A 13,082-nucleotide genomic window follows, 5' to 3' on the forward strand; every position below is an offset into this window, starting at 1 on the left:
AAAAGACTTGTTCCAGATTATACAACTATAAAGAGACACATCGGTTAAATGCAATGTGGGATCCTAAACTGAACCCTGGACAGGGGAAAAAAAAATTTGTTGACGGGGAGACGGGGTCTCACTCTGTTGCCCAGGCTGGAGTGCAGAAGCACAATCACGGCTCACTGCAGCCTCAACCTTCCTGGGCTCAGGTGATCTTCCCACCTTAGACTACCAAGTAGCTGGAACGACAGGCATGTGCCACCGCACCCAGCTAATTTTTGTATTTTTTGTAGAGACGGAGTTTCGCCATGTTGCCCAGGCTGGTCTTGAACTCTGGAGCTCAAGCAATCCGCCCATCTTGACCTCCCAATGTGCTGGGATTACAGGCGTGAGACACTGCACCCAGCCAAAAATAATTTTTTTTTACTTATAAAGGACACTATTGGAACAACTAGTAAATGTGCTAACGTGTGAATTAAATAACTACTGTATCAGTGTTAGCTTCGTAATTTTGATAATTTTACTATGGTTATGTAAGGAAATAAATACAGAAGTATTTAATGGCAAAAAGGTCTTTATGTCTGCAACTTACTCTCATATGGTTCAGAGAAGAAAATTGTGTGTGTGTGTGTGTGTGTGTGTGTGTGTGTGTGTACGTATCTATACATACACAGTCGGCCCCTGAACAACACGGGTTTGAACTGCATGGGTCCACTTACATACAGACTTTTTTTCAGTAAAAGTCACACTGAGTGTGCCTGCCTCTCCTACCTCCCCTTCCACCTCTGCCACCCCTGAGACAGCAACAACAACCCCTCCTCTTCCTCCTCCTGTTCCTATTCAATGTGAAGACGATGAAGATGAAGGCCTTTATGATGATCCACTCTCACTTAATGAATAGTAAATATACTTTCTCTTCCTTATGATTTCCTTAATGACATTTACTTTTCTCTAGCTCATTTTATTGTAAGACTATAGTCTATGATAAATATAACATACAAAATATGTGTTAATCAAGTATTTATGTAATCAATAAGGCTTCTCTGGTCAACACTAGGCTAATAGTAGTTAATTTTGGGGAAGTCAAAGTTATACACGGGTGGGGTATGGTGGCTTATGCCTGTAATCCCAGCACTTTGGGAGGCCAAGGCGGGTGGATCACTTGAGGCCAGGAGTTTGAGACCAGCCTGGCCAACATGGTGAAACCCCGACTCTACTAAAAATACAAAAATTAGCCAGGGATGGTGGTGTGTGCTTGTTAATCCCAGCTACTCAGGAGGCTGAGGCAGGAGAATCACTTGAACCTGGGAGGCAGAGGTTGCAGTGGGCCAAGATCATGCCACTGCACTCCAGATTGGGCAACAGGAGTGAAACTATGTCTCAGAAAAAAAGAAAAGAGTTATACACAGGTTTTCAACTGCACAGGAGTCGGCTCCCCCACAACCCCTACACTGTTCAAAGGTCAATTGCATATAGAGAGAGAAGAAGAGAGAATGAAAAGCAAATAGCCTAATACATTAAGCTTTGAGGAATCTGGATGAAGATTATACAGAAATTCTTTATACTATTTTTGCATATTTTCTGAGAAACCATTTCAAGATAAACTGCTAAATACACACACACACACACACACCCCTCACAACACCTTCACTGCCCCCATTCTACCTAACCTAGTTATCTCTCCCCTGGATTACTTCAGTGGCCTCCTAACCAATCTGCATTTCTGCTCTTGCCTCCGTCTTTTCTCAAAAAGCAGCCAGTGATCTCATTAAAATATCTTAGATCATGGCACCATTTGCTCAAAACCTTCCAATGCCTTTCCCTTTCATTCAGAATAGAAGCAAAATCCCATACTACAGTCTACAAGGCCACACACAGGCTGCCTGCCCCTGCACCTCTCACCTCACCTCTACTTCCTTTGCCCTCCTCGTTCTCCTGCAACCCCTGTCATCACTGCAGTTCTTCACACCCTCAGACAGGCTCCCAGGTGCAGGCCCTCATCCTGGCTGCTCCCTCTGCCTGGTACATGCCACACCCAGGTACGTGCGTGGTGCATCAAGGACTGCCCTGGCCATGCTATCTATCTCAAATTTTCCTCTTACTGGCATGTGTTATCTCCCTTTCCTACTTTATTTATCTTCTTAGCACTCACCATTTTCTCACGTATTACATATTTTATAAATTTATCTTGTCTGTCTCATCTCCCTCACTATAATATAAGCTCCAGAACAAGTATTTTTGCTGTTTTGTTTACTGCTATGTCCCAGTGCCTAGAACAGAGAGTGGAATAACGTAGGGGCTCAAAAGGTATGTGTTGAATGAATGAGAACTAGACAAAAGCATTATCTGCAAGGCCAAAGGAGAATTTGTAAAAGTTTAAAGCCACATACTCACCTAGGGAAGCACAACTACCCTCTCCTGCCTCAAAGCTGCAAGCGTATGTGTGAGCAGGAATGTAGGCAGCAGATGTATTTAGAAACGGGTCCCAAACAATGACATTGTATATGACACCTTGTCCCGGGAGGGAGGAGAAGGAAACACTTGTCTTATCATTAGCTGTTAGGGTAACCACCTGAAGCCAAAAATAACACATGATTAGTGTTTAGGGGATTTTTTTAAGCTATTCTGTGATAATCCCACCTACGTGTAATATTAAATGGTATATTCATAAATTATAATTCTTGCTTAAAATATACACCAACCCATTTAATATGGTCAAAAGGCCATCTTACATGGTTTGTATGTGCTAATGTAAACAAGCTCTCACACAAAATGCTTCCAAAGGTTTTTTTTAATAGTTTAAGGAAAATGCGATATAAACAATGTATAAATGCTAGTTACGACCATGAAAAAAGTTTTTTCACCTCTGCTAGACTATAAACAAGGATGGGAACTGTATTTCTCTTGTGCACTGCTCTTTCCTCAGTGTACAGCCCAATGCCTAACACAGAGGATGTGTCCAATGTTAGCCACAGACTAACGCAGACAGTCTGTTAACATCTCGCAGACAGTACCCACTTATTTTTGTCTAACAGTCTCTGAAACAAGAAAATATTACATGAGGTTTTGTTATGTAGTAGTAGTTCTTTTTTTTTTTTTTTTTTTTTTGAGACGGAGTCTCGCTCTGTCGCCCAGGCCGGACTGCGGACTGCAGTGGCGCAATCTCGGCTCACTGCAAGCTCCGCTTCCCGGGTTCACGCCATTCTCCTGCCTCAGCCTCCCCAGTAGCTGGGACTACAGGCGCCCGCCACCGCGCCCGGCTAATTTTTTGTATTTTTAGTAGAGACGGGGTTTCACCTTGTTAGCCAGGATGGTCTCGATCTCCTGACCTCATGATCCACCCGCCTCGGCCTCCCAAAGTGCTGGGATTACAGGCGTGAGCCACCGCGCCCGGCCAGTAGTTCTTAACTTCAGAAATTCCATTGTAAACTATAAAATAGAAGAAACAAATGCTTTATAGAACCATAATACCTATGTTCCTACTAATTTGAGAAAAATAAATATTAGGGTTTTAGGAGAAAATTATTATGAGCCCTCCTACATCAGACTACCATTGTTTAAAAATACTGCTTAGCCTTCAATAACTTGCTTCCTGGGCAAAGGTCTGGTAAAGTTCAACAAACTGTTAATATTACTCCCAAGTTACAATGAAAAGTTTAAACCAGACAGAAAAGTTGAATGAATAACACAATAAATAGACTATATACTGCCTAATATCAACAATTGTTAATATTTTACATTTGCTTCTCTATCACTAGTTTCTCCCCAACTCTACTTTTTTCCTGCTGAAAGTAAGTTACAGATATCATGACATTTCACTTCTAAACACTTCACTGTGCATGTCCTACCACAGTGTTTCTCAAATTTAACGTGCTTGTGAATCGCAGGGGGCAGTCTTGTTAAAAGGTAGATCTGATTCTTAGGTCAGCGTGGTACTAGCAATTGTGCCTTTCTAGAAAGCTCTCAGATGATGCCAATGCTATGCAAACACCTACCACACTCTGAGTAACAAGTTACTCAGTACAGATGTAAGTCTAAGTACAGACTTACAAGGGGGTTACATCAGGATAAACCCATCGTAAAGTCAAAATGCATTTAATGTACCTCACCCACCAAACATTATGGCTTTACCCTAGCCTACCTTAAATGTGCTCAGAACACTTACATTAGATTCAGTTGAACAAAATCATCTAACACAAAGGCTATTTTATTTTTTTATTATTATTATTATTATTATTGAGACGGAATGTCGCTCTGTTGCCCAGGCTGGAGTGCAGTGGCACGATCATCTCGGCTCACTGCAAGCTCTGCCTCCCAGGTTCACGCCATTCTCCTGCCTCAGCCTCCTGAGTAGCTGGGACTACAGGCGCCCGCCACCACCACTACGCCCAGCTAATTTTTTGTATTTTTAGTAGAGACAGGGTTTCACCCTGTTAGCCAGGATGGGCTCGATCTCCTGACCTTGTGATCCTCCCGCCTTGGCCTCCCAAAGTGCTGGGATTACAGGCGTGAGCCACCATGTCCGGCCCACAAATGCTATTTTATAATAAAGTGTTTAATTGCTTATGTAATTTATTGAATACAGTACACTGTAAAATGTTAGCTATTACCCGTGTGGTTAAGCAGGAGCGATGGCTCACTGCCACTGCTCAGCGTTGCAAGAGTATCATACTGTATATTGCTAGCTCAGGAAATTATCAAAACTAAAATCAAAAGATCATAAGTCAAACCATCATAAGTCAGGGACCATCTGTATAAGAATATTCTCCTATATAACAATACCTTAGCTCACCTACGAAAATGAATAATTTCTTATTAGCTAATAAATGATCCAGATTTTCCCTAATGTCTTTTTTTTTTTTTTTTTTTTTTGAGACAGGGTCTCACTCTGTCGCCCAGGCTACAGTGCAGTGGCGTGATCTCAGCTTACTGCAACTTCTCCCAGGCTCAAGCGATCCTCCCACCTCAGCCTCCTCAATATCTGGGACTACAGGCACGCACCACCACGCCTGGAACTTTTTGGTTTTTTTAGTGGCTGTGAGGTTTTGCCACGTTGCCCAGGCTGGTCTCAAACTCCTGAGCTCAAGTGATCTGCCCTCCTTAGCCTCCCAAAGTGCTGGGATTACAGGTGTGTGCCACTGTTCCTGGCTCCTAACATCTTTTCTAGCTTTTCTCCTTCTTACCCAAGATCAAACCAAGTTCCATGCATGGTGTTTACGGCCAATCTCAGTAATCCAGAGCAGTCTGTCCCACCTTTCTCTCCCAGCTACCCAATGACTGTAGAAGATGTGAAGTCAGTATTCTCATAAAGTATTCCACAATTTTGTGTCTAACTTATTCTTTTATCCCCCATATTTCCTGTAAATAGGGAATCCAATGGACTAAATTCAGGTTAGACATTTTTTGCTAGAATATACCACAGGTGATGGTGATAATGTCAGACTGCACTACATAAGCACGTAATACAGGCTGATCCATTTTCAGTGAAACTAGCTTTGCCCACCTGGAATAGGTGGAGACTATAAGGTCACTCCATGTTAAAGTGGTTCTCCTTTTACAATGAGAATTAATCTAAGGATGCTACTTAGACACCCTAGAAATATCCTGTTCCCCAAAAACCTTTCACCTGCTGATCCTTGCTGGAATTATTTCATTGAGGGTCACAAAATGGTGATCATCTAATTCTATTATTTCTTCTACATATATTAGCCAGCACTCTTCTGCAAAGAGCTTTCTCTCACCAACTGGGGAAGAATTAGTTCCTCCTTTAAAAAGGCAAGCTAAATTTCTTTATCAATTTTTAGAGTAATTTGCTGTAAGAGTCTCCTCCAGTGGTGGCAACTGAGGAAGGTTTCATTTGTATTTATTCAAGGCTGACAACCACAGTCTTTTTCTTGATTCTTGAACTGCCCCAAATTTGGCAGTGCAAGCCCCTTCAAACAGGCTCCTGAATCTCTTTGACATACCCTCATTAGTCTTTGAGGGTTTCCCCACATTCTGGTACAAAATATTCTTTTAACTAAAAGTTTAAAAGTAACCTACAAAAAGCCTATTATACAAGTTCTTATATTCTTCATAAAAATAATAATAGTATTAAAATGTCATATCTAATAAAGCAACTAATAAACTTTACTAACAGAGCTTCTTATTTTGTGAATAAGCACAATGACGCTGTCTAGAAAAACTCCACCCATCAACCATTAGACTGAAGGATGACCTCATATATTATATTGCTGTTAGGCACTTTTCAAGACATAAAGATAAAATCCTGCCCTCCACAAAAATGATCTATTGCAGTGAGTCTCAAAATTTAATATGCATAAAAATCACCTGAGGGCTGGAGTGCAACAGCACCATCTGGGCTCATTGCAACCTCCACCTCCTGGGTTCAAACAATTCTCCTGCCTCAGCCTCCCAAGTAGCTGGTATTACAGGCATCTACCAACATGCCTGGCTAATTTTTGTATTTTTAGTAGAGACACGGTTTCACCATGTTGGACAGGCTGGTCTCAAACTCCTGACCTCAGGTGATCCACCCGCCTCGGCCTCCCAAAGTGCTGGGATTACAGGCGTGAGCCACTGCACCCAGTCAGAATCACCTGAGGGATATAAAATGCAAATTCTGATTCAGTAGTTCCAGGGTGGAGTTTAAGAATTACAATTCTCACAAACTCCCCAGTGATGCCAATGCCACTGGTCCATGGTCCACACCTGGGGAGCAAGGGTTTACATGGATTCAAAAGCTCAGAGAAGAATTTTACTCCAAGTTAGACTTTGAGTTTGGGTTCAAATATGAATGCCAATGTGTATATCCTTAAGCAGTTTCTCATTATTTTTTTCTCAAAACAATGTAATCTTCATACTTGCCAAAAATGTTTACCCAGTAGTCGTGGGAGTACACAGAAAATTACCACCTCCTTCCATTCACATTTCAGATTACCAAGTCACAGATGTGGCTGCAACTAAAACGTAACATAATTTACATGCATCTCCTCAAAGGCCAACATCATTTTGAGATATCACCAGCAAAGACTCCCAAGATGATAACAAAAGAGAATAAAGTGAGTGTCCCCCAAAAAGGAGAAAAGAGTAAAGAAATAAGATCCTGGTAGCTTCTCCCCTTCTCAACTCTGACAAAGGTGTCACAATCCAGCCACACAAATCATGGGACTCAGATTTACCTTGAGAGCACTGGCCTTCACCTGGGGCACACTGACCATCCTCTGCAGATGCTTCAGCAACATCTCCTCAGTGAGGTCATTCTCAGGCAGAAAATACTGATAGACATCATACTGCAACCTCCACCTGGAGTCCTGGTCTGTCCCAGCGTCACATGGTGGGGGATCTACGCCTCTAAAGTCAACCAACAAAATGAAACATCAGTCTCTTGTGGTGCAAGTCCCATCTATAAAAAGGAACCAAGAGCCCTAATTTCAAACACTTGCAACAATAATTACAATTTAACAGTTCACCTTTTGCAGTGGCAACAATTGGTATTCTGAAGAAAAGTAATGCACTGTTATGGACTGAATGTTTGTGTCTCCCCAAAATTAATATGCTGAGACCCTCACTCCCAGTGTGATGATATTAGGAGGTGGGACCTTTGGAAGGTAATTAGGTCATGAAGGTGAAGCCCTAATGAATCGAATTACTGCCCTCATAAAGGAGATCCCAGAGAGCCCTCTAGCCTTCTTTCTGTCATGTGTGGACACAATGACAACCCAGCAGTCTGTAACCTGGACGAGAACCTTCACCAGAACTCAACTGTGCTGGCATCCTGATCGTGGACTTCTACCCTCTAGAACCATGAGAAAGAAGTTTATAAGCCACCCAGTCTGTGCTACTTTGTTACAGCACCACAAACTAAGACAAACACCAACAGGCAAAGGTGATTACATAACTGGATTCTGATATCAGTCAGGCCTAGAGTAAAATACTACAGCTCTGGGGAGGCAAAAAAATTTTTTTTAAAAAAAAGCTGGGTGCAGTGGCTTATGCCTGTAATCCCAGCACTTTGGGAGGCTGAAGCAGGAGGATTGCTTGAGCTAAGAAGTTCAAGACCAGCCAGGGCAACATAGAAAGACCTCATCTTTGATTTAAAAAAAAAAAAAAGAAGAAGAATATAGCAGATTTGTCATTTGTTAGCAAGTAGGGTAACCTCCATAACCCCTAGGGAAACTTTCTGTAAAATAACAGCAATTGCCCTTCTTCATAAAATTGTTAGGATTAAATGGCAAAGAACATAACAACACTCAGCACCACGGACAATGCACAGGAAGCATTCAAGTGTTCTCAAATGTTAGCTATCATTACTATTAAAGCAGAAACTGAGGCACAGCTTTAATTAAAACAATGAATCTTTATAAAAATAAAAGGATGTTTCAGGGCTACTGAGTGCTATCTATATTTAAAGTGCTTTATAAAAACCAGGATGTATTTTCAAGCTCATAATAGACTCACATCTGGCTCTTCAAATAAAAAGAGTTCACAAGAATGAAGTGGGAAAATATTAACTGTAAATGACAGTCCAAATATTAATAGTGAAGTTTAAATTACATCAATTCCCCCCAAAAATTAACTCAATTTTACTACAGAGAATTAGGGACTTGAGAGAGCTGGTCAAATCTACACAACTGTCGTCATGTATATTCTAAAAGCATTTCTCAGACATGGGAGACAGACGTACCTCGCATAGCCTAGGTTTGCTGGGGCAAACTTGATAGTCGTTTCAAAGAAATTATACTCCAAGTAAATGTTGGGATCAATATCTAAATCGAACTCCAAATTACAGCCTCCAGGGACAGGATCTGGATAAGAAATAGGGAAGTTACTAAACAAACAATTCCTACATATCCAAATCATACTCAGAAAAACAGAACTCTATCTACTCTTACAAAAACTTCCCAAATAGAAGTTAAATATAAACGTAGAGCTTCTAGTCGTATACTATTTCATGAACTGAGGTTAAAGAGGGTAGAGTTAACTGAGGTTCAGGGCCCTAGAGCAGGGCAGAGCCAAAATTTTCTGTAAAAGGCCTAATAGTATTTTAGGCTTTGTCAGTCTGATGGTCTCTGCAGTAACTACCCACCCCAGTCCTTGTGGCAGGAAAGCAGCCACAGGCAATACGTACAGGAAGAGGCATAGCTGTGTTTCAGTAAAACTTTATGTACAAAAACAGGCAGCAAGCTGGATCTGGCTCATGGTCTGTAGTTTGCCAACCTTTCCTCTAGAGTTAAAAAGATCGGCTATTGGTTGACTACTTCTGGCCAGGTTTGGAATGCAGATACACAGTGTGTATATATGTTTCAATATCATGTTGGAATCTTCCTCCAAATTCTATGCTCTTCTTTCATACTCTCCTTTTTCTGCACTTATGGATCTTTACCACACCACAAATGGTATGTATGCCAGCTGAAGCTCCTCTGTTCATAATTTTTCTTTGTACACTGTCCTTGACGCAAGCCTTAATTAAGTCTATGGTTTCTTATCAGGTAATTAGCCTTTTGTTATAGCTAACATTTCCTATCTTCTACTCCAGTAATCTTCTGGATTCTCCCTCCTTTCCTAACTAGCGCTCCCTCTCCTTCCCTTTACCCCCAAGCTTTAAGAGTAGTCTAAATTTATTCACCTCACCTTCACTCCTCCATCCCTGTTGTGCCACTAAAGTGACTCTCATAAAGGGCCACCGCTGACTCCTACTTGCTCTAGCATACGGACACTTTCAGTCAGTTCTCTTGACCTCTCCGTAGACTGTAACTTACCACTTCCTTTTTTTTTTTTTTTTTTTTGAGACGGAGTCTTGCTCTATCACCCAAGCTGGAGTGAAGTGGCGCAATCTCAGCTCACTGCAACCTCTGCCCACCGGGTTCAAGCAATTCTCCTGCCGCAGCCTCCTGAGTACCTGGGATTGTAGGCACCTGCCACCACACCTGACTAATTTTTGTATTTTTAGTAGAGATAGAGTTTCGCCATGTTGGCCAGGCTAGTCTCAAACTCCCGATTATATAAATTATACCTGCAACCTGCTTCGGCCTCCCAAAGTGCTGGGATTACAGGTGTGAGCCACCGTGCCCGGCCTGCTCCCTTTTAAAGGCAGAAACTCCAGGCTTTCTTCCTACCTTCTTGACTACTCCACAGTGTTGTGCTTATTCCTCAGGAGTTATTATCCACCAGAAACAGTGCCTGACACATAGTAGGCACTAGTAAAGTATTTGCTATGATTTTTTTGCCCTAAATATCCAAGTACATGCCTGGATAATCTCACTCACTGCCACAGCTTTTATTAACAGCTATTTAGTTGGGAATCTAATCTCACCCCTCCACTCCAGGCCCTTATTTAAATTATGTACTCTGCATTTCCATCCAAATGTCCTACAAGCATCTCAGACTGTGTCCCAAACTGAAGTCATCACCTACTCCGTCCCACCTCCCAAAACATCCAGCACCACCATAACCCTGTTCCTACACCTATTTTGTATCACTATTTCCCTGCTGCCCAAATAGGAAACCTATGCTTCCCTCTTATACTCCATAACCACCAGTCATTGTGTTGTATCAATTCCACCTTCTGGATATCTCAAATCCTGCTCCTCTTCTCCATCCCGCCTCTCATGGCCTCTGTTCAGATCCTCATTTCTCATTTTGTGCTGAGTCCTGACTCTGCTGCGCCCTCTCCAATCCATCCCCACACTACTTCTAGAGTTAGCTTTCTAAGAGATGAAATGGACTACACCATTCCTCTGCTTAAAAACTCTATGCCTCCTTAGAACCTACCTCGAAATAAAGTACAAACCTCAAATTGTATGCAAGGCCCTCCACACTCCAGCTGCAGCCACACTCACAACGTGCCATTCTCCAAATCATTTTTCTTCATGACGTCGAGCTTACTGCTTCTGCTTAGAACAACTAAACTGTTAAGGACTATGTCTTGCCTTAACTATTACTGCTTCTCCAAGGGCTCCCTAAATGTTTTTCGAATGAATAAACATGTTCTCCTAGTCACTACCTGAGCTTTCAGTCATCGTGCTAATTCTCTTACTATAAAATATTTCTGATTATAGGCTGGGCGCAGTGGCTCATGCCTGCAATCCCAGCACTTTGGGAGGCTGAGGCGGGCGAATCACAAGGTCAGGAGTTCGAGACCAGCCTGGCCAACATGGTGAAACGCCATCTCTACTAAAAATACAAAAAATTAGCTGGGCCTGGTGGCGGGCGCCTGTAATCCCAGCTACTTGGGAGGCTGAGGCAGGAGAATCGCTTGAACCCGGGAGGCAGAGGTTGCAGTGAGCCGAGATCGCGCCACTACACTCCAGCCTGGGTGACAGTGCGAGACTCCATCTCAAAAAAAAAAAATCCGATTATATAAATTATACTTGCAACAAACAATCTCAATAGGATAATTTTCCTTAAAGTTTCATGAACACATTCCATATTCCAAAGAGTAAGAGGGAGGAGAAGACAGAAGGGTTACCTCTTTCTGAGTAGGAGAGTAGGATAGCCATATTCTGGACAGGCTGTATGCCTGAAGTCCCCAAGTACCAAGTGCATGTACTCTGCTCTGGTCTAAGGATGAAAACCAGTCCACTGGCAGTGCCTGTTTCCGAGGAATTGGAAAGGAGAGTCTGCAGTCCAGAAGAAACATTGTCATGAATAGGAAGTCGACCAAAACATAAATTACTGAGCTGATCCAGTGTGCATGTCCTATTCCAAATCTTCCCAAAACAAATAGAAAAAAAAAACCTTCCTTAAATAACCAGGGAATTCTTTTCATCTCTATGTTCACATGCCCACACATATACATGGAAAAAGCATTCTTGAAAAATATACGATTGTCTTAGTTAAGGCTGCTATAACAAAGTACCACAGGTAAGGTGGTTATAAACAACAGAAATTTATTTTCGCAATTCTAGAGTCTGGTGGTTCATGATAGCGGTGCCAACACAGTCGGGTTCTGATGAAAGCTGTCTTATAGGCTGAAGACTCCCAACTTCTTGTTGTATCCTCACATGACAGAGAAAGGGCAAGAAACATATCTGGGGTCCCTTTTATAAGGCCACTAATCCCATTCATGAGGGCTCTAAATGGGGGCCCATGACCTAATCACTTCCCAAAGACTCCACTTCCTAATATAACACACTGAGGATGAGTATTTCAACTGTGAATTTTGTGAAGACACAAACATTCTGTCTGTAAAAATAATCTTTGATCAGGAATAGCAGATGCACAGTGAAATTCCCAAGTGTTTCAATTAATTTGAATTAAGATTTACTATGTCAAATAATGTTTTATCTTAGTTTCTAAGACCACTAGGACAAAAACATGAGACCTGGCCCCAAGGAGTTCAGTTTTCGAGGTACCTTTTAAATTGTGTTATAACTGACAAACTATAAACTGTACATAAAGTATAATTTTTCTTTTTTTTTGAGATGGAGTCTCGCTCTGTCACCCAGGCTAGAGTGCAGTGGCGCGATCTCAGCTTACTACAAGCTCCGCCTCCCGGGTTCACGCCATTCTCCTGTCTCAGCCTCCCAAGTAGCTGGGACTACAGGCGCCTGCCACCACACCTGGCTAATTTTTTGTACTTTTAGTAGAGACGAGGTTTCACCATGTTAGCCAGGATGGTCTTGATCTCCTGACCTCGTGATCCGCCAGCATCAGCCTCCCAAAGTGCTGGGATTACAGGCGTGAGCCACCGTGCCCGGCCCATAAAGTATACTTTTAAGTGTTGATATACAGACACCTGTGAAACCATTACCACAATCAAAATAGCAAATGTATGCATCACCCCAAGTTTCCTTGTGCCCCTTCCTAATCCTTCCTCACACACTTCCTCTCTACCATCCCCCACTCCCATCTGCTTGGAAAGTTTTTTGAATAATAAAATGCTAAGCTAAAAGGTAACAGACTCAAGAGGTTCTATCAAAGCTAAGGAAATGGGAAGGAAAAGGTAGCAGAGTAGTTTCAATTTGATAAGCATAAGAAAGAATGACTCAAATATTAATTGATAAATGATCAAGTCAACAGTTTCAAAGAGCCAATTGCCATCACGACTCAAAAAAAACAAAAGTGCCACACTTTATTAGGAAGGGCACAGGAAACAG

The 13,082-nt window shown here is 42.0% G+C and overlaps 1 protein-coding gene across 12 annotated transcripts in view; it reads right to left on the reverse strand.

Moving 5' to 3' along the window:
• Window positions 1–13,082, reverse strand: part of TM7SF3 (transmembrane 7 superfamily member 3) — a 42,806-nt gene that overhangs the window by 16,495 nt on the left and 13,229 nt on the right. For 5 of the 12 annotated variants that reach the window (XM_047428990.1, XM_017019463.3, XM_047428992.1 and 2 more), the window contains exons 3-6: window positions 11,453–11,693; window positions 8,669–8,789; window positions 7,164–7,335; window positions 2,377–2,554 (exon numbers count right to left, since the gene is read on the reverse strand). In XM_047428990.1, the coding sequence (XP_047284946.1) occupies window positions 2,377–2,554; window positions 7,164–7,335; window positions 8,669–8,789; window positions 11,453–11,693 (712 nt within the window). The remainder of the gene's footprint in view (window positions 1–2,376; window positions 2,555–7,163; window positions 7,336–8,668; window positions 8,790–11,452; window positions 11,694–13,082) is intronic. The other 7 variants (XM_047428995.1, XM_047428994.1, XM_047428993.1 and 4 more) reach the window with 3 other exon arrangements.

This window comes from Homo sapiens, chromosome 12 (genome assembly GCF_000001405.40).
Source record: "Homo sapiens chromosome 12, GRCh38.p14 Primary Assembly".
NCBI classification, from domain to species: Eukaryota; Metazoa; Chordata; class Mammalia; order Primates; family Hominidae; genus Homo; species Homo sapiens.